This window comes from Homo sapiens, chromosome 16 (assembly GCF_000001405.40).
Source record: "Homo sapiens chromosome 16, GRCh38.p14 Primary Assembly".
Taxonomy (NCBI): Eukaryota; Metazoa; Chordata; class Mammalia; order Primates; family Hominidae; genus Homo; species Homo sapiens.
Window position 1 is genome coordinate 15,812,098 of NC_000016.10, and position 21,791 is coordinate 15,833,888.

The 21,791-nt window shown below is 46.7% G+C and overlaps 1 protein-coding gene across 4 annotated transcripts in view; it reads right to left on the reverse strand.

Moving 5' to 3' along the window:
• Positions 1–21,791, reverse strand: part of MYH11 (myosin heavy chain 11) — a 153,894-nt gene that overhangs the window by 108,963 nt on the left and 23,140 nt on the right. For all 4 annotated transcript variants that reach the window (NM_002474.3, NM_022844.3, NM_001040114.2 and 1 more), the window contains exon 3: positions 11,158–11,314. In NM_002474.3, coding sequence (NP_002465.1) covers positions 11,158–11,314 — 157 coding nt within the window. The remainder of the gene's footprint in view (positions 1–11,157; positions 11,315–21,791) is intronic.

Here is a 21,791-nt window from a genome sequence, read left to right on the forward strand (position 1 = left end):
GACAGCCTTCCGTGGGATTGAGGGGGATCCCTGTGGTTGCCCGGTGTCACCGACTGACCAGCAGGGCTCCGGCTTTGGAGTCAGGATAATCCAAGTGTATATTTGGCTCTGACACTTAACAAATCTGCAGCAAGTTCTCCACTCCTCTGAGTCTGTTTTCCCAGCTGTAAAAGGGAGCTAATAATAGCTCTTGCGGCTAGCGTTGGATCACCCAATAAACCTTGTAAGCATATGCTGAGGGCACACCCACACAGGCATGCACGAGAAGGAAGAATGCCATAGTTGCCATTTCATAAGCACCACGAAGATAAACATCATGGGAAAAATAGCAACTTTAGGCTGGGCACGGTGGCTCATACCCATAATCCCAGCACTTTGGGAGGTCAAGGCAGGAGGATCACTTGAGGCCAGGAATGAGAGACCAGCCTGGGCAACACAGTAAGATCTTATCTCTAAAAAAAAAAAAAAAAAAAAAAAAAAAAAAAGTTTTTTCACTAGGCACAGTGGGCTCACACCTGTAATCCCAGCACTTTGAGAAGCCTAGGCAGGTGGATCACTTGAGCTCAGGAGTTCAAGACCAGCCTGGGCAACATGGTGAAATCCCGTCTCCACAAAAAATACAAAAATTAGCCGGGTGTGGTGGTGCATGGCTGCAGTCCCAGCTACTTGGGGAGCTGAGGTGAGAAGATCACTGGAGCCTAGGAGGTCAAGCCTGCAGTGAGCCGTGTTTGTGCCACTGCACTCTAGCCTGGGTGACAAAGTGAGAACCTGTCTCAAAAATAAAAAAGACTGGGCACGGTGGCTCATGCCTGTAATCCCAGCACTTTGGAAGGCCAAGGTGGGTGGATCACCTGAGGTCAGGAGTTCAAGACCAGTCTGGTCAACACGGTGAAACACCATCTCTACTAAAAGTACAAAAATTAGCTGGGCATGGTGGCATGTGCCTGTAATCCCAGCTACTCAGGAGGCTGAGGCAGGAGAATCACTTGAACCCAGGAGGTGGAGGTTGCAGTGAGCTGAGATCGTGCCATTGCACTCCAGCCTGGGTGACAGGGGTGAAACTCTGTCTCAAAACAAACAAACAAAAAACAGTTGTTTTTTTTTAATTAGCTGAGCATGGTGGTACATCTCTGTAGTCTCAGCTACTTGGGAAGCTGAGGCAGGATTGCTGAACCCAGGAGTTTGAGGCTGCAGTGAGTTACAATCGCACCATTACACTCCAGCCTGGGCAACAGAGCAAGACCCTGTCTCTAAAAAAAGCAAAAACAAAAACAATTTTGTCAGCCTTCTTTACTTTATAATTTAATTTTTTTTTATGACATATGCCTGCACCTTAATAGTTTCAGGGCTTAATTTTAAAATTCCTAATCTGGTCCTGTCCACCTTGTAGGTTTGTGGTAAAGATTAACTGAGAATATTTCTGTAAAGCCCTGAGCTTTATAGGAAGCATATAATAAAAATCCATGATTATTATTATCACTTCTTTGTAAAAGAAGGCATGAGAGAATTCCCATGAGAAGATGGTAGGCTGAGTGCATGCATTTAGCTCTCTTCCTTCCTAAACCTTACTAAAATAACTGTAAAAGACTTTCCAAAAATACATGAACCAGTTTAGCCGGGCATGGTGGCTCATGCCTGGAATCCCAGCTCTTAGGAAGGCACAGGCATGAGGAAAGCTGGAGCCCAGGAGTTCAAGACCTGCCTGGAAAATATAACAAGACCCCATTCTCCACACAAAAGAGGGGGGAAAAGGCAAAAAAAAAAAAGTGTAAAAAGGCCGGGCGTGGTGGTTCACGCCTGTAATCCCAGCACTTTGGGAGGCTGAGGTGAGTGGATCACCTGAGGTCAGGAGCTCGAGACGAGCCTGGCCAACCCGTCTCTACTAAAAATACAGAAATTAGCTGGGCATGGTGGCATGCACCTGTAATCCCAGCTACTCAGGAGGCTGAGGCTGCAGAATCGCTTGATCCTGGGAGGTGGAGGCTGCAGTGAGCAGAGATCGTGCACTCCAGCTTGCGCGACAAGAGGGAAACTCCATCCCCCAAAAAAAAACAAACAAACCAAAAAGTGTAAAAATACATGAGGCAGTTTAAAAAGAACTAGAGAGGGGAGAACAGCAAAGCCATCTTGGAAGACAGAAAATGGGATAAGCGTTGAAAAGTACCAAGAAAAAGTCCAGACACCGTGGCTCACGCCTGTAATCCCAGCACTTTGGGAGGCCGAGTTGGGTGGATCACCTAAGGTCGGGAGTTCAAGACCAGCCTGACCAACATGGTTGAACCCCATCTCTATTTAAAATACAAAAATTAGCCGGGTGTGGTGGCGGATGCCTGTAATCCCAGCTACTTGGGAGGCTGAGGCAGGAGAATCACTTGAACCCGGGAGGTGGAGGTTGCAGTGAGCCAAGATCATGCCATTGCACTCCAGCCTGGACAACGAGAGTGAAACTCCATCTCAAAAAAAAAAAAAAAAAAAAAAAAAAAAAAAGGTACCAAGAAAAAAGTCTAGGTGAGCAGTGAGGAAAGGTGGGAAACGACCTAATTTCAACACCGAATTCCCCATTTCTGCCCCAAACCTCAGAAACTGGCAATGCCAGGGGCCTCTGGAAGAAAAGATCAAGGAGGAGACAAAAACATAAGGACTGGGTCAAATATAAGGCACTGTTAGACCCCTCCCATATCTTCTACACTCCCTGAAGCCAAGTGACTGCCCTTCTCACACCCCACAGAAGGTGGTGGGTTTAGTCTCTGGTGAGGGTTAAACAGAGGGTCTCCGTCCTGGGGGGACACCAGGAACCATACTGAAAGAAGGAAGGTATAATGTACAAATTTCACTGCACATTTTGAAACCCTCAGCTTCTTTTCAACTAGACCCTCAAAATGATGCTAGACAAATCTTTAACCTCCAGGCAGAAGATTTTTCTACAAACCTTCTCTGAAGAATCAGATTAGCCCATGAACAAAAGACTGAAAGACGAAACAGAAGTGTCCTAATGGGGTAGCCCAGTGCTTTCATATTATAGCCAAGCACATCAGCAAGCCCATCCTATAAGCACTGAGCTTCCATCAACAATTTGGTATCCTGTGTACTAAAGCATCCAAGATGAATGGATAGCCAAGAATCCCAAGACATCTGAAGAAATCCACTAATATGACAGACAGAAGTTAAAACAATTAGGAAAATATGTATCTTGGAGGAAATAGACTCTGCATTAAATATCCTCTGAGAAACAGGATATTGCAACCACAGAAAAAGAATGTCATATGAAAGAAACATTTAAAAATAAAATAGAATTTTTGGAATTTAATAAAATATATACCAGAAATTTAAAACGCAATGGAAGGGTTAGGGAAAAAAGTTGAGGTAAGTGCCCAGAAAATACCATTAAAAACATTAAAGTGATGAAAATGACAAAAGAAAGAGATTTAAATTATAGGATTGGTCTAGGAATTCCATTATGGAAATAAAAAGACTTCTAAGAAAAAGAAACAGAGAACACAGGGAGAAAGACAGCATCAATGAAATAATTTGCAACATTTCCCAGAATTTGTGGACACACGTTTATAGATTAATTGGGCCACTAAGTGTCCAGGATAACAAATAAAAATGGACTCATAGCAAGTCCCATCATCCTGAATAGGGGTACAAAGACAGTCTAAAAGCTTCTAGAGAAGGAGGAAAAACAAAAACTGGTCATGTACAAAGGATCAAGAATATTCCCAGCCAGGAAGGTGAATATAATCACACACACACACACTCACAAACATACACACATACGAATCAGATTGGGTTTCATCTTCTCAAAACTGAAACTAGAAGGCAACAACACAAATGCCTTAAAAAGCTCAGGCAAAAAAAGTTATTTATAACTTTCTGAAAACAACTTTCTTGCCTGAAATTTTAAACCCAACTAAACTATCCTTTAAGTGTTAGAGAAGCATCAAGCCTCTCAGATATGGAAGTTCTCAATGCCTCAAGATCACGTACATTCTTTCTTGGGAAGCTACTGGACAAAGTGCTTGATTTAAGCAGGAGAGTAAAGCAAGAAAGAGGAAGACATGAAAACTGGGAAACAAGGAATCCACTATGAAAGCACTAAGGGGAATTTCAAGGATGGTGAAAAAGATCCTATATGACAGTTACTAGCTATAGAGAAAGCCAGGGCAGATCAGAAGGCTATAGTAGAGATCACATTCAAGGAGATGATATCAATATGATATCCAATACATGTCTGGACATATTAAAAGGAGATTAACACATTTAGAAAGAGATTTTGGGGCAGAATTGGTGGTTAAATACATGGAAAACAAGATTGGGGAAAAAAAAGGCAATTGCTAACTCCAGGAAAAAGAAAAGTCATACAGAAAGAAGAAAAATAGTCACAAAGCAGTGCAAAGCTCAGCTTTGAATAACATCTACATAATCATAATAATGTAAACTCTAGATAGCATTACATAGTCATAATAATGGAAACTCTGAACACTGAGTTTGTCAAAACTAAGATAAAATTATACTGGGACTCTGATATGAGGCATGTGTGTTGGAACGAGGAAATAGGGGCAAATCCAGAGGGTGAATGAGCTAAATTTCATCTTTCATGGAGGAAAGTCAATAGATGATACCTAAAATTGAAAACAAAATTAAGATAGCAGCACAATGATCAAGTGTTGTTTTCAGAGATATGGTGGTAAATACCAAAAAAAAAAAAAATCAATTAAAGGAGTTGAGAAGTAGCAGAGGATGGCTATTTTTCTTAATAAGCCTTCAAAAATTACTTGACTCTAAGCCGTCTGCATGAATACTTTTAACAAAAATAAAAACCAATTTTTTAAAAAAGGGAACAAGGAATTCCTACATGCACTGATATGTAACATCCTCTGGCAAAATATAGGACTGTATATATATGGAATGCTAGTATTTGTAGGGAAATCTTAGGGAAGAAAATAGATACCTATTTGCTTATACTTGCAAAAATATCTCTAGGAGAAAACCTCATACACTAGAAACCATAATTGTCTCTTGGGAGGGAAGCTAAGGGTCTAATGCACAAGGGTTGAAGGGAGAAGTTCACCTTTTGAATTTGTATGTAACATCTTTCCAAAAACAAACCACGGCCGGGCGCAGTGGCTCATGCCTGTAATCTCAGCACTTTGGGAGGTTGAGGCGGGCAGATCACCTGAGGTCAGGAGTTTGAAACCAGCCTGGCCAACATGGCAAAACCCCATCTCTACTAAAAATACAAAAATTAGCCAGGCATGGTGGTGTGTGCCTGTAGTCCCAGCTACTCAGGAGGCTGAGGCACAAGAATTGCTTGAACCCAGGAGACAGAGGTTGCAGTGAGCAGAAATCATACCACTGAGCTGAGATCGTGCTGCTGCACTCCAGCCTGGGTGGCAGGGCGAGACTCTGCCTCAAAAAAAAAGGGGGGGAGAATTTAAAAAATAAACATGACATAATTTATGCATATGCAGATATAAGATACATATTTTAAATATCAGCTTCTCTTCCCATACCCTCAAGGGGCTTGGCTTCCACTTGGGAGGGTGCCATGTTGTGAAGTATCTCTTAGAAAGTCCCTCCCATTTTCCCAACTCCTGTGAGGCAGCAAAGGGCTGAGCTCTGGCTCTGAGCTCCCTGCCACAGTATACTAGTCAACCCCTCTAAACCAGCTCCTGCCACACTCATCATACCCATTCTCACCCCTACATTTATGCTTTTATTATTCTTGGCTAGAAAGCCATCCCTGCCCCCTTCTCTCACCTTAGCAAACCATTCTTCGAGGCTTATAAAGCCCCACCTCTCTCAAATAACCCACCCCATCCATCCTGACCCTGGTAGGTTCTTTTCTATAAATAACTCTAATAATTCATTGATTCAACAAATACTGAGCAGCTACTATGTGCCAGGCACCAGAAAATGTGCTGGAGATACAATGATGCACATGCAAGAAGGATGGAGTTTATAGGTCCTCAGGAACTTACTGTCTATGTGACACAACTGCAATGCTTCATCTTATATTCAGTGCATGTGTGTTACCCATCCCTCCTCAATCCCGCCTTTTCACACCCCATCTTTTCCATGAAGAACTCAAGGAAGAAGCCACATGTGCTAGCTTTCTCTCTCCACCTTCATGGTAAGCTTAGTGTGGATCGCAGCCCAGTGACTTAACAGAATGAGATCGTGCCATTTATCAATGGAGTCAACACACTGGGCCTACGTGTTTCTTCACAAAAACCAATTTCCTACTTGGGAATGGAGAAAAAATTAAGCAGGTGAACGGAATTCTTCCCAAGCTTAAATTTTTCTCCATTATTTTTGACATTCTTTTTATTTTTTATTTATTTATTTATTTTGAGATGGAGTCTCGCTTTGTTGCCCAGGCTAGAGTGCAGTGGCGTGATCTCGGCTCACTGCAAGCTCCGCCTCTTGGGTTCACACCATTCTCCTGCCTCAGCACCCCCTGAGTAGCTGGGACTACAGGCGCCTGCCACTGTGCCTGGCTAGTTTTTTTTGTATTTTTAGTAGAGACGGAGATTCACCACGTTAGCCAGGATGGTCTCGATCTCCTGATCTCATGATCCCCCCACCTTGGCCTCCCAAAGTGCTGGGATTACAGGCGTTAGCCACCGTGCCCGATTCTTTTTATTTTTGGAGTCCGCCATCAATGATTTGCCAGAAAGCACCAGGTCATGCCAAAATAGACGAGGGCATAGCAGGTGTTGGTTAACATTTAAATTAAGTAAAGAGTTTATCTTTTATGGATGTGCATATTCACGGTTTTCATTTTCTTTCTTTCTTTCGTGACAGGGTCTTACTCTGTTGCCAAGGCTGGAGTACCATAGCACGATCATAGCACACTGCATTCTTGAAGTCCTGGGCTCAAGCCATCCTCCTGCCTCAGCCTCCAGAGTAGCTAGGACTACAGACTCACGCACTGTGGCCAGCTAATTATTTTTTTGTAGAGACAAGAGCTCACTATGTTGGCCAGGCTGGTCTCTAACTCCTGGCCTCAAGTGATCCTCCTGCCTTGGCCTCCCAAAGTGCTAGGACTGAAGACATGCTGCTGTGCTCAATCATGATAGTCATTTCCTATTGGAGCTTACTATGTGTCAAGTGAGCATTTCTAAGTAGTTTCAAGAGAGCTGACTATGCAATTTTGTGTTAAAACCTAGAGACCATGAGGAATCAAATATATGAACACAGGGTGTCCTTGTCAATTACAACATTGCCTCACAGTTAAGAGGTGGTCTAGCGCAGGCATCTCAAACCACCGACTGGTACTGCACAGCAGGAGGTGAGTAGTGGGCTTCATCTGTATTTACAGCCACTCCCTATCACTCCAATTACTGCCTGAGCTCTGCTTCCTCTCAGATCAGAGGCGGCATTAGACTCTTATAGAACCACCAACCCTACTGTGAACTGCACATAAGAGGGATCCAGGCTGTGTGCTCCTTATGAGAATCTAATGCCTGATGATCTGTCACTGTCTCCCATCACCCCCAGATGGGACCGTCTAGTTGCAGGAAAACAAGCTCAGGGCTCCCACTGATTCTACATGATGGTGAGTTGTATAATGATTTCATTATATATGACAATGTAATCATAGAAATAAAGTGCACAATAAATGTAATGCGCTCGAATCATCCCGAACCATCTCTCCCCTGCGGTCCATGGAAAAACTGACTTCTATGAAACTGGTCCCTGGTGTCAAAAAGGTTGGGGACTGCTGGTCTAGGAAAGCAAAAGTCCCCACAACACAAAAGTATTCTTCAATGACTACAAGAGCGATCAAACTCCACCGAAACCTCCTTCTCCGACGATTCAGTGGCTTCACCTTGCCAATTATTGGGTATCAATAGCCACCATCATGATATGAACACAAAACAAAGTGGCAGTTCTGGAAAACAAGGTGCAGTGACTGGCAAAGTCAGTGGCCTTGGAAAGGCCAAAAAAAAGATTCAGGGGCCAAGTGTGGTGGTGCACACCTGTAATCCCACCACTTTGGGAGGCCGAGGTGGGAGGATCACCTGAGGCCAGGAGTTCAAGACCAGTCTGACCAACATGGTAAAGCCCCATCTCTACTAAAAATACAAAATTAGCCTGGTGTGATGGTGCATGCCTGTAATCCCAGCACTATGGGAGGCTGAGGCGGGCAGATCACAATGTCAGGAGATCGAGACCATCCTGGGTAACATGGTGAAACCCCATCTCTACTAAAAATACAAAATTAGCCGGGTGTGGTGGCACATGCCTATAATCCCAGTTACTTGGGAGGCTGAGGCAGTAGAATCGCTTGAACCCAGGAGGTGGAGGTTGCAGTGAGCTGAGATCACACCATTGCACTCCAACCTGGGCACCAAGAGGGAAACTCCATCCGGAAAAAAAAAAAAAAAAAGAAAGAAAGAAAGACAAAAGAAAGAAAAAGATTCAGGGCAATTCACAGCTGAATGAACGCTAAGACCACAGGGGCTTTGAGAGACTTAAACACTAAAGAAGTAAAAGAAGCCCTTAGGAAAACTGGTGACCCATCAAATAAATCTGTAAGAATGATCCTTTTTAGCTCGGGCTGCAGAAGTCAAGCATGACATGAAGATGTCGTTTTATGCTCACATGATTTCATCCCTCAGCCCAGAAAAAGTTACAGAAAAAAACCCCACACCCACTCTTAATTCATTTTATACTGAATCTACAAATTAGCACCTACTTGTAATTAAAATAAAATTCTTATTACATGTAAGCTGAAATTAACCTATTTTTATAATTTGCAATGTTGGTTTTCTTTTCTTTTCTTTTGAGACAAGGTCTGGCTCTCTCACCCAGGCTGGAATGCAGTGGCGTGATCTCGGCTCACTGCAACCTCCACTTCCTGGTCTCAAGCGATCCTCCCACCTCAGCCTCCCAAGAAGTGGGACTACAGGTATGTGCTACCACACCAAAGTAATTTTTGTATTTTTTGTAGAGACAGGGTTTCGCCATATTGCCCAGGCTGGTCTCGAACTCATGACCTCGAGCAATCCACCCATCTGGGCTTCCCAAAGTGCCAGGATTACAGGCGTGAGCCACTGTGCCTGGCCTGCAATGTCATTTTTCAAGCTCAGTCAAATATTTTGCCCACTCTCTTTCCCTCCTCCACACACATACTATCTACAGTGAAACTTTGGTCTCTGTTTTAAGTGATCTTTTTCTGGAACGAATTATCTTCAGATAGTAAAAATTTCCTTCATTTCATGCCATTTAGTTCAGTTAGTGTAATGAAAGGTCACGTAACAAAATGTTAATGGTGATGAGTTTTGGATGATAGAATCATAGGTGCCAGCAAGTTCTCTTTTACTTAAATATATGTTTAAGTTTTTCTAGAATGAATATACAATATTAAAGACTTTTTCAAGTTACAAATAAATTTTTTCAGAGCACTGTAGAAATGCTTACCCATCTGTCGCTCCCCCTCCTTCTCCTTTGCTAACAGAATTTTCTTTCTTTTTGGTATTTAGATTAAAATGTGCTTAGTGGGACCTCAGCTCCAGAAAAGAACCAGGAATTGCTGGGTATGGTGGCTTATGCCTGTAATCCCAGCACTTTGGGAGGCCGAGGCGGGTGGATCATGAGGTCAGGAGATCGAGACCATCCTGGCTAACAAGGTGAAACCCCGTCTCTACTAAAAATACAAAAAATTAGCCGGGCGCGGTGGCGGGCGCCTGTAGTCCCAGCTACTCGGGAGGCTGAGGCAGGAGAATGGCGTGAACCCGGGAAGCGGAGCTTGCAGTGAGCCGAGATTGCGCCACTGCAGTCCGCAGTCCGGCCTGGGCGACAGAGCGAGACTCCGTCTCAAAAAAAAAAAAAAGACAGATACCTGACTCCAGGAGCCATCACTTTACAACCTGAGATTACAGCTCCAAGATTGCCTTTGCAAGGCTCCACCTGCTGGTCTTTGGAGGTAATGGCAGGCCCTGCCTAGAAGGGCCAAGATTCTGGTCCTACCTGTGGAGTCTGGCTCACTGTCAGAAAGTTGGGGCACTTATACCTGAGTCCCTCTATCTTGGGGGCGGGGTCGTGGCATCTCTCAGGCACACCTGGATTCCGGCCTCAAGAACTTCCAGAATTGGGCTCCTCTCAACTCCCAACTCAGATCCCTGGGTTCCCACCTGTTGGTGCCCTTTCAGAGGGGGTGTGAGTTTTCGAGTTTCTTGTACTCTTCGCCTGACCTGGTACACTTGTTTGCATTAACTGCCTAGTCCCTCTGTTTGACTTGGGGGTGGCTATTTCAGGGGCTCCAAAGTGTTCTAAATAGAAGGTGAGAAGGCCTGGGTGCAGTGGCTCATGCCTATAATCCCAGAACTTTGGGAGGCCAAAGTGGGAGGATCGCCTGAGGCCAAGAGTTTGAGACCAACCAGTATAGCAAGATCCTGTCACTTCCAAAAACAAAACAAAACAAAACAAAAACAAAACAAAAAAACCCACCTTTTTAAAATTAGCTTGACATGACAGTCCACACCTATAGTCCCAGCTACTTGGGAGGCTGAGGCAGGAGAATTGCTTGAGCCCAGGAGGCGGAGGTTGCAGGGAGCCGAGATGGCACCACTGCACTTCAGCCTGGGCGAGAAAGTGAGACCCTGTCTCAAAAATAATAAAACAATAGTAAAAATAATAACGTATAAACATGAAAGTAATAGGCACAAGTCTTAAGTTTGGAAAAACCAGCATTAACAATCTTCACAAGAAGCTACAAGATAGAGACTATCACCCCTTTTGACAAATGAGGAAACTGAGGCTGAAGAGGAAAAGATATTTACCCACAGTCCCACAGGGGTTGAGGGACAGGTAGGTGTCAACACAGACCACAATGGCTCAGCCCCAGGGCTGTTCCCCACCCTCTTTCCATCCTTTGCAGACAGCTGGCCCGACGGGGACCTTGGGCAGCGAGCCCCGGAGCTGGAGCTGGAGCGGGCCCATGCCCGTATTTGCCCAAGCTCTTGGCTCTCCCTCACCCTCCCAGGCTGCAAACACAGATGTTCCTTTTGCTTTTTCCCTTTTTCAGCCACAGTAACTCCTGGTCCCTCGCAGTGCCTGCCAAACTCCACATTCCTGGCAAGAACTGCAGACAAGCAGGACAGGAGGGGCTCCCTGGAGCTGGCCCCGTGCAGCCCTGAGTTCACTCACCTTGAAGCATGCTCCGGTAGGCCGTGTCTGCGATGGCGTAGATGTGAGGCGGCATCTCGTGCCTCTTCTTGCCCTTGTACATGTCGACGATCTTCTCCGAGTAGATGGGCAGGTGTTTATAGGGGTTGACCACCACGCAGAAGAGGCCAGAGTACGTCTGCAGACAGAGAACCCAGCTTACTTCCAGACCTCCTCCAGGGTAGACAGATTGCACAGAAGCACTCAATATTCTCATGTTAGAGATGGGGAAACTGGAGCTTGGAGTCTTAGTGGAAACCCTGGGCCTCACTGATATTCCAGGTACGTGGGAAGAGGAGAAAGGGCGAGAGTGGGTTTCCAAGCTGCCTATGTTTTATTTTGCAACTGTGGGGGGTTTTGTGTTTGTTTTGAGATGGGGTCTCACTCTGTCACCTAGGCTGGAGTGCGGTGGTGTGAACGTGACTCACTGAAACCTTGACCTTTCTGGACTCAGGTGATCCTCCTACCTCAGCCTCCTGAGTAGCCAGGACTACAGGCGGGCGCCACCAGGCCTGGCTGATGTTTATATTTTCTGTAGAGACATGGGTTTCACTGTGTTGCTCAGGCTGGTCTCAAATTCCTGGGCTCAAGCAATTCTCTCATTTCAGCCTCCCAAAGCACTGGGATTATAGTTGTGAGCCATTGCACCTGGCCAAACTGTGGAGTTTTGAAGAGCTCTGGGTTCAAATCTCAGCTCCACTCCTCCGACCTGCCACTTTACCTCCCCGGACCTCACTGGCTTAAATAACAGCCACCGTTCATTGAGCACTTACTATGTGTTGGGCACCGAACTAAGCACTACGCAGGATCTTTTTTGGATGCTGACAATCATATTAAATGCTCATCATTTAACAGGTGGCACAGAAAATGAACAGTGTGCTTAAGATATTAACTCAGGAACATTTAATAAAGAAAGTGTTTACAGATATGTGTGCAGAATTAAAGAAACCCAACCAGTGACGGGAGCAGTTAAGTCTGAAGAGCAAGAACAGAAGAGAATGTTGTTTACTTTTTTTTTTTTTTGAGACAGGGTCTTGCTCTGTCGCCCAGGCTGCAGTGTAGTGGGGTGATCTTGGCTCACTACAACCTTGAGTTTCTGGGCTTAAGTGATCCTCTCGCCTCAGCCTCCCAAGTAGGTGGTACCACAGGTGTGCACAACCATGCCCAGGTAATTTTTATTTTGTTTTTTGTAGAGACAGGGTTTCACCATATTGCCCAGGCTGGTCTCGAACTCCTGAGCTGAGGTGATGCGCCAGTCTCAGCCTCCCAAAGTGCTGGGATTACAGGTGGGAACCACCGCACTCAGCCAGAGAGGGAATGTCGTTAACTGAACATTGGAGGCATAGAAAGCCACACACCCCTAAAAAGGGGCTGTCCAGAGGGATCCGCAGTCATACAGAAACACAGCTGCCAAAACTGTGGTCCAGGAGGGAGGGAGGAAAAGGTAATAATCCTCCAAGCTCTCTCTCCTCCCACCACCCTCTGATCTCTTTCTGGGACCTCCCAATGTCCATATCTAAGAAGAAACCCCAGTGACTCAGTCTCTAGAAGATGGCAGAGGCATCTCCTCGTGGCATCTTCACAACTACTCAGTAACAGTGATTTCCCCACCGCCTGTTTGACAGGAGGGCAAAGTGAGGCATGGTGAGGTTGTCACCAGGTTACACAGCTGGAGGGAAGTTGGGAACTAGAACTCCTGTTTACCCCACAGCGCCTGCTCCTGATCATTAATACCTTCCCCATCTGCAAAACAGAGACCAACACTGACATGAGCTCTCCAATGTGGATGAAGCTTGAAAATATGCCTAGTGAAAGAAGCCAGGCACGAAAAGTCACGTACTCTATCATCTCATTTATGTGAAGTGTCTAGAGTAGGCAAAGCCATGGAGACAGAAAACAGACTTGTGGTTCCCAGAGGCTGGAAAGAGGTGGGAAATGAGGAGGAACTGCTCATGGGTATAAGGTTTCCTTTTGAGGCTATAAAAATGCTCTGGGGCCAAGTGTAGTGGCTCATGCCTGTAATCCCAGCACTTTGGGAGGCCAAGGTGGGAGGATTGCTTCAGGCTAAGTGTTTGAGACCAGCTCAGGCAACAACAGCCGGACCCCCTCTCTACAAAAAAAAAAAAAAAAAAAAAATAGCTGGCCATGGTGGTGATCACCTGTAGTCCCAGCTACTTGGGAGGCTGAGTCAGGAGGATTGCTTGATCCCAGGAGCTCAAGGTAATAGTGAGCTATGATTGTACCATTGCACTCTAGCCCCTGGGTGACAGAGCAAGACCCTGTCTTGAAATTGATAGCTGTACAACATTGTGAATGCACTTAATGGCACTGTTTTCTTTAAAATGTTTAAAATGGTAAATTTTATGTCATATGCACTTTACCATTTAAAAAATAGCAGTCCTCTCCTACTGGGTGAATAGGAGCATCTGAAAATAATCAGATCAGGGACGGAGGAGTCAAGGCACAAGGCGAGTCCCGCCATGCTGTACGTGGTAAGGCACTATTGTCATGATTTTTCCTTACTGGATACTAGATTTTCCCATGGTTGAGGTCACAGTTCAGGAGACAGGCTCCAACCCGTCTCACAGGAACTGCTTTCCCCAAACGATAAACATCAGTACTGCCCAAGACTCTGATGGCCATAAAGCGTATCCTCTTCCCTGCAAGTGACTTAGGGAGAACCACAGATCCATCTCTCAGTTACAGCTAGGGTGAACCAAGCAACAGAGGGTTAAGTGACTTGACCGAGGTCACCAAAGAAGATCCTGGCAGCACCAAGCCCAGCCTGGCCCGCCCCCAGGTATGAGCATGGTCCATTATGCTATCCAGCCTAGGCCCATCCAACAGAAACAGAAACTACTGATCGTTCGTTCATTCATTCATTCATTCATTCATTCATTCATTCATTCTGTACGTCCCAGATGCCATGCAAAAGGTGCTGGGACTACATTAGAACATTAAAAAAACACAGGATCCCAGCCCTCAAGGGCCTTTTAGTCAAGGGCTGGAGCCAATTAGAGAGTGGGAAAGTCTGGCTGGGTGTGGTGGCTCACAACTGTAATCCCAGCACTTTGGGAGGTCAAGGCAGGAAGATTGCTTGAGCCCAGAAGTCTGAGACCAGCTTGGGCAGCACAGTGAGACCCCCATCTCTATAAGAAATTTAAAAATTAGCTGGGCATGGTGGCATTCACCTGTAGTCCCAGCCACTTGGGAGGCTGAGGTGGGAGGTTTGCTTAAGCCTGGGAGGTTGAGGTTGCAGTAAGCCGTGATTGTGCCATGCACTCCAGCCTGTGTGACACGGTGAGACCTTGTCTCAAAAAAGAAAAAGAAAGAAAAAGAGAGAGTGGGAAGGTCCTTCCAGGGCTCAGTCCACTCAGGGACAATGGTATGTAATGTCTGGGGGTGCTGCAGAGGAATATTCTTTGAAGGTACAGGATTGTTGGGCGCAGTGGTTCACACCTATGATCCCAGTACTTTGGGAGACCAAGGAGGGCAGATTGCTCACACTCAGGAGTTCAAGACCAACCTAGGCAACACAGTGAGACCCTGTTTCTACCAAAAATACAAAAAATTAGCAGGGCATGGTGGCACATGCCTGTAGTCCCAGCTACTCGGCAGGCTGAGGCAGGAGAATCACTTGAACCTGGGAGGTGGAGGGAGGTTGTAGTGAGCCAAGGTGGTGCCATTGCACTCCAGCCTGGGTGACAGAGGGAGAACCCATCTCAAAAAAAAAAAAAAAAAAAAAAAAAAGGAAACAGGATTGATGGAGACGGAGGTTCTCACCATCCCCTAAAAGGAGAATGAATGAGTCAACATATGCCTGTCTAAATAGCCATCAACCATTTACTGAGCACCTACTATATACCACATCTGTGTCAGAGGCTGGAGATAAAGAAATCAATGATAGCTCCTGCCCTTAAAGAACTTAAATCAGAGGGGGAGACAAGTACATTAAAACACGTCGTAAGAACAGAGAATGATAGGAACAAGGAAGGGAAGGCCCTAACCCACATTGGGGGTGGTCAGGGAAACCTCCAGGTGGGGAGGTATTCCCTGCACTGAGTCTTAAAGGACAACAAGGTGTTAACCAGCTCAAGACAAAGCAGGGACATGGGCAGAAAAACAGGACACGGGGTCCGTGGGGGTGAACTATAAGCAGCTTGGTATAAGCGGCTCCATCGGACCGAAATGGAGAAGCAAAGCAAGGGTTAGAGGTAAGCGGGGCCCAGGAGCAACATCCAGCCTGGTGGGGCTGGGAGTGGGGGGCTGCCTGCCTGGACACCCCTCTTCCCCATTCCATCACCCAGGACCCTCCCACCCATCCTGCAAACACCAGCTGCAAGTGCCTTGAGTCCGGGGAACCCCCTTTCTCCTCTTCAGTCCCAGCACAGGCCTTGGTATAGAATAGGTGCTAACTAAATGCTTGCTAAATGCATGCCAGGGGAATAAATTAATGATACAGCTTCCTGGGAGCAGGGACAGCCTGACTTCACCTCCGTGACCTGGGGGCCTTGCACGGCGGCAGTAGGTACTCAGTGGACTACACTGAGCCAGGCCAGGGGCTATTTCCTGTTCAATCAGTGTCCCCTGTCCCCAGGACAAGCCTCCCAAAGAGAAGAGCCCAGTCTGTGGTCACCTGAACAAAGGTCAATCAAGCCCCACCCTCCTTCAGGCCTCGACTCCATCTCCAGCTCCTCTGGGGCCATGTCCACTGCCACGCCCCTTTTGAATGTAGGTATCATTTACAGCCCAACCTGTCCTCACTCAAGCCCTTGACCTGGAGGCAGTAAAGGGCAGTGGCTAAGGGCTCAGAACTGGGTATGGGGTACTTGAATTTGAACCTTCACTTTGCTACTTCTTCGCTGTGTGACCCTGGGCAAGTCCCTTAACCTCTCTGAGTCTCACTTATCCTCATCTACAAAACAGGGAGGCATACGAACAAGCCCTTCATAGATGTGCTGCGAGATAATGCTCGAAAAGCATTTAGCATGGCGGCTGGTATGTAGTAGGTGCTCAATCAATGTTATTTAGTGACTCTTACTATGCTCCCTTCATTTCACGAGAGGGAAGTCTTGCCACCTTAGAGCCTTCAATATGCTGTTCTCTCCACTTGGAACACTTTTCCCCTCATCTTCCCACAGCTGGTTCCCTCTCCTCTTTTAGAGCTCTGCCTAAATGTTACCTCCTGGACTGTGACCCACACACTACTGTATCTCCTGCACCCCGCACAGTGCCAGGGACAGGGTAGACACTCAGTCAGCTGTAATCCCAGCACTTCGGGTGGCCAAGGAGGTCAGATCACTTGAGGTCAGGAGTTCGAGACCAGCCTGGCCAACATGGCAAAACCCCGTCTCTACTAAAAATACAAAAATTAGCCAGGCATGATGGCAGGCGCCTGTAATCCCAGCTAGTCGGGAGGCCGAGGTAGGAGAATCACTTGAACCCAGGAGGTGGAGGTTATAGTGAGCTGAGATCATGGTGCTGCACTCCAGCCTGGGCAACAGAGTGAGACTCTAAAAAAAAAAAAAAAAGAAGGAAGGAAGGAAGGAAAGTAAGAAAGAAAGGAAGAAAGAGAGATGAGAGATAGAGAAAAGAAAAGAATAAAAGGAATTTTTAAAAAGAAGGAAGAGGCCGGGCATGGTGGCTCACACCTTTAATGCCAGCACTTTGGGAAATCGAGGAGGTCAGATCACTTGAGGTCAGGAGTTTGAGAACAGCCTGGCTAACATGGCAAAACCCCGTCTTTACTAAAAATACAAAAATTAGCTGGGTGTGGTGGCGCATGCCTGTAATCCCAGCTACTCAGGAGTCTGAGGCAGGAGAGTCACCTGAACCAAGGAGGCAGAGGTTATGTGAGCCGAGATCATGCCACCACACTCCAGCCTGGGTGACAAAGTGAGACTGTCTCAAAGAAAAAAAAAAAAAGAATAAAATGAATTTTTAAAAAGAAGGAAGGACCACACTGCCTTTTCAACTCCATCACTAGCTTCTGAAAGAGGAATATGACTTCCATCCTCTTTGTTTGGGACATCTCTCCCAGTGCCGTGCACACAACAAGCACTTAATCCATACTTCCAGGTAGATCTGAATCTCTGCTGAGTTCTGTAAAAGCTTTCTAAGCAAGCCAGGGTATGACGATGGAGTGAAGGTAAGACTGGTGCAGGCAGCCGCACATCTCACGGCAGGGTCGTGGGGCTTCAGCATCGGGCTCTTCCTCCCACATTATTCAGCCACTTCTCCTTCACCTCGACCCAGCCCAACCATAGTTGGCTGTGTTTCTGCCTCTCTGGCCCCACGAGCCCCTCTCCAGCTGGTTAAATTCAGAGGTTTCAACATCCCAGCCTCCTGTGTCCCAGCCGGCATCTCATGGGCCCTGTGCCACCAGCAAGTCCCAGCTGCAGGCCCAGGATTTCCCTCTTGTGACCGTATTAGGAAGCAGCTCCAGTTTTTCTCTGACGCTTTATATGGTCAGCCACAGAGCCCTGAGCAGGGGGTGCTCCCGGGGCCTGCAGCAGAAATGAGGAACAGGGAGGGAAGGGAGGGAAGTGGAAGGAACACTGGCTTTCAGACACACAGGGATGGCCGGGCGCAGTGGCTCACACCTGTAATCCCGGCACTTTGGGAGGCCAAGGTGGGTGGATCACCTGAGGTCAAGAGTTCGAGACCAGCCCGGCCAACACAGTGAAACCTCATCTCTACTAAAAATACAAAAATTAGCAAGGTGTGGTGGCGCGTGCCTGTAATCCCAGCTACTCGGGAAGCTGAGGCAGGAGAACTGCTTGAACTCAGGTGGCAGAGGTTGCAGTGAGCTGAGATTGTGCCACTCCACTCCAGCCTGGGTGATACAGCGAGACTTGGTCTCAAAAAAAAAAAGACACACAGGCCTGGGCAGAGTGTTGGCTTTGCCTTATCACCTGCCTGACTTGTGCATACAGACCTACCCCTGAGCTTCCTCAGTAAAGTGATGGATAATCACGGCTTCTTTATGAAGCTGCAGTGCAATATCACGGCTTTCTAAATACCCAACCTAGAGACAGACGTGGTCCACCAAGCACGTGCTTTTGCTGCAGCCTTGCTTTTAAGAGCAAAAAGACTAGAAACAACCTAAATACCTGTCAATAGCAGACAGGCTTAATCATTATGGTTCATCCCTATAGCAGAAGACTGTGCAGTGGCCCTCTCTCTACTACCATGGATGAATGGCCAAAATACACAGTTAGATGCAAAGATTGAGACGCACAACAGCCGGGGCCTGTGCTGCCATTTTGGAGGGGTGCAGGAGGGGCTCTCTATGTGGCTGCATGTGTATAAAACATCACTGGAGGCTGGATGGAGCAGCTCACACCTGTAATTGTAGCACTTTGGGAGGCTGAGGTGGGTGGATCACTTGAGGTCAGGAGTTCAAGACCAGCCTGGCTAACATGGCAAAAACCCATCTTTACAAAAAATACAAAAATTATCTGGGTGTGGTGATGCACACCTGTAATCCCAGCTACTCAGGAGGCTGGGGCGGGATGATCGCTTGAATCCAGAAGGCATAGGTTGCAGGAGCCGAGATCGCACCATTGCACTCCAGCCTGGGTGACAGAGTGAGACTTTATCACAAAAAAAGCAATAGGCTGGGCACAGTGGCTTAAGCCTGTAATCCCAGCACCTTGGCAGGCCGAGGCAGGTGGATCACCTGAGGTCAGGAGATCGAGACCAGCCTGGCCAACATGGCAAAACCCCCTCTCTACTAAAAATACAAAAATCAGCTGGGTGTGGTAGTACACGCCTGTAGTCTCAGCTACTTGGGAGGCTGAGGGAGGAGAATTGCTTGAACCTGGGAGGGGGCTGTTGCAGTGAGCCAAGATCATGCCACTTCACTCCAGTCTGGGTGAGAGAGTGAGACTCCATCTCGAAAAATAATATAAATAAATAAATAACATGACTGGAGGGCTACATATGTAACCAGCAACCACAGTGTCTCTAAGAAGGGGAACTGGAAGGGCGAGAAATAGGAACGAAGGGGGAAGTTCTATATTCCCTTATACACTATTTTATTTCATATTTGCATGTCTTACCTATTCAAAAACATATTTGAAGTCTGACTAGATAGTTATGAACAGACAGAAAAAACTATAAGGTAGGGTTAAGTGGAAAAAAAATCATACTGCAAAACATACAAGGAGTGACTTTTTCTTATGTTTGGGGTGTGTGTGTGTGTGTGTGTGTGTGTGTGTGTGTACATACATGAACCTGTGAATCATGTTTGCCTCCAGGGAAGAGGGCTGCTTTTTGTGATACATACTTATTTTTAAATATTCTCCTGAGGTCTTTGCATAGATTATCCTTGTATTACTGGAGGAGGTTCTTTGAAGCAATAATGACTTGAAAGATCAGAAGGCTGGGTGCAGTGGCTCATGCCTGTAATCCCAGCACGTTGGGAGGCGGAGGTGGGAGGATCATCTGAGTTCAGGAGTTCAAGACCAACCTGGCCAACATGGTGAAACCACTTCTCTACTAAAAATACAAAAATTAGCTGGGCGTGGTGGCATGTGCCTGTAATCCCAGCTACTGGGAGGCTGAGGCACAAGAATCGCTTGAACTCAGGAAATGGAGGTTGCAGTGAGCCAGGATCACACCACTGCTCTCCAGCCTGCGTGACAGAGCGAGACTCCATGTTAAAAAAAAAAAAAGATCAGAAGGGCTAATGCTTGGGGCTTGACAAAGGGCAGCTTCCAGTTACAGTGTCTTTCTACCCTCTAGGGACCAGTGCAGTGGCTGGCACCCAGGAGGCCTCTGTTCACAATCTGCTTGTTCCTTGTGTCCCCGGGTGGACACTGCTTCCAGAGTAGGCTAAGATTGCTGGGCCAGGTCTCTAAGGCGGAAAAATTGTCACCTGCTAAAGTTTGGAAGGAGGGCTTCTCCTGACCCCCTGGGCATTCCAGAAGCAGAACCAGAACTGGAAAAATGTCCTTTGGGGTTCATGGTTCAGGGACTTGGGCTTGGAGTTCCAATGAGCAGGGGGGCCCATCCACCTTGGCTCTGGATCATGATTTTCCCAACCCCAGAGGTTTGGTATAGGGTGGAGGGTCCCACTGTCTACAGAGACAAAGCAGGTAAGGCATGAGTGAAGCAGGGCGTGTGTGAGTGAACAAAAGAGGTGCCACGGTCAATGGTTACCATGGCCTGGGAGACGACAGGGAGTGGTGAGGTCTGCGGAAAAGCAGAGCAAAAAGCCCATCTCACAGGGACTGCTACTCGCACTCTGCATTCTGCAGTGTCAGGTCCTCTGCTTTTTCGAGCAATGCCAGAAACAGATTTCTTTTTTTGATATATTAAGTTAACTCAATTTAAAAACAAAAATCACTCCTCTGTGTTAGCAGGTTGTAATCATTAGTCTAGCACCTAGTTAGGTGCTCAAGGAATCATAATAAAAGGTTCAATTCCTTCTTGCTCTGCACTTAAAGCTTGTCTACCTCAAAGCTAACAAGGCCTCTGGCACTGTCCCCTCCTGCTCCAGCCCACGACCATCACCTCCTGCTCTAAGCCTATTACCCCAAGAGCCCTTTGCTACTAATCATAGGTAGTCACCCTGGCCCTGGACTCACACAGACCTTGTCTGAATCCCAGCTCTGCCCACCTTCCAGTGGTGGGACTAAGCACATCTGAGCTTCAGCAACCTCATCTTTTTTTTTTTTTTTTTTTTTTTTTTTTTTTTTTTTTGAGATGTAGTCTCACTCTGTCACCCAGGCTGGAGTGCAGTGGCACAATATCATGCCTGTAATCCTAACACTTTGGGAGGCCGAAGTGGTGAAGATTGCTTGAGCTCAGGAGTTCGAGATCTGTTTGGGCAATACGGTGTGACCCCACCTCTACCAAAAACACAAAAAAATTAGCTGGGCATCGTGCTACATGCCTGTAGTCCCAGCTACTAAGGAGACTGAGATAGGATCCCTTGAGTTCCAGGAGGCAGAGGTTGCAGTGAGCTGAGATCATGCCACTGTACTCCAGCCTGGGCAACAGAGTAAGACCCCATCTCAAAAGAAAGAAAAAGAAAAAAGAAGAAAGAAAAAAGAAGACAGAAAGACAGAGAAAGAAAGGAAGAAAGAGAGAGGGAGGGAGGGAGGGAGGAAGGAAGGAAGGAAGGAAGGAAGGGAGGAACGAACTAACTAACTCGAGGCAGACGAACTCAGCCAAAAGACAGCATTCAGAAGACCAAGGGACCCTTAGGACCAGGCGTCAAAGCCATGCTCCCCGCCAGGTATGCCACAAACGGTCTTCAGCAGTTTAGGTAGACTGCTGGACATTGCTGAGCCCAGAACCTGCATCTCTAAGATTAGGAGGAAAGCTCCTCTGGCTTCTATAGACTCTTCTAGATCCAAGAGCACAAGAGGTCTGCCAGAACCTTCTCAAGGGCACATCGTTTGAGGCGAGCCTTGCAGAACGGAGGAGAAAGTTTATCTTCATCACAGAGGGCAAAGTCATGCATGCCAGACCACGGACCTGGTATCACCTCACTACCCGCCTATTAACAAGACTCATGCATGCTGCTATTATGGGCTGGGAGAGTAAGTTACTGTGCTCCCCCACCCCAACCCCTTTCCTTCTTTATCTTCTCCGTCATGGACGAC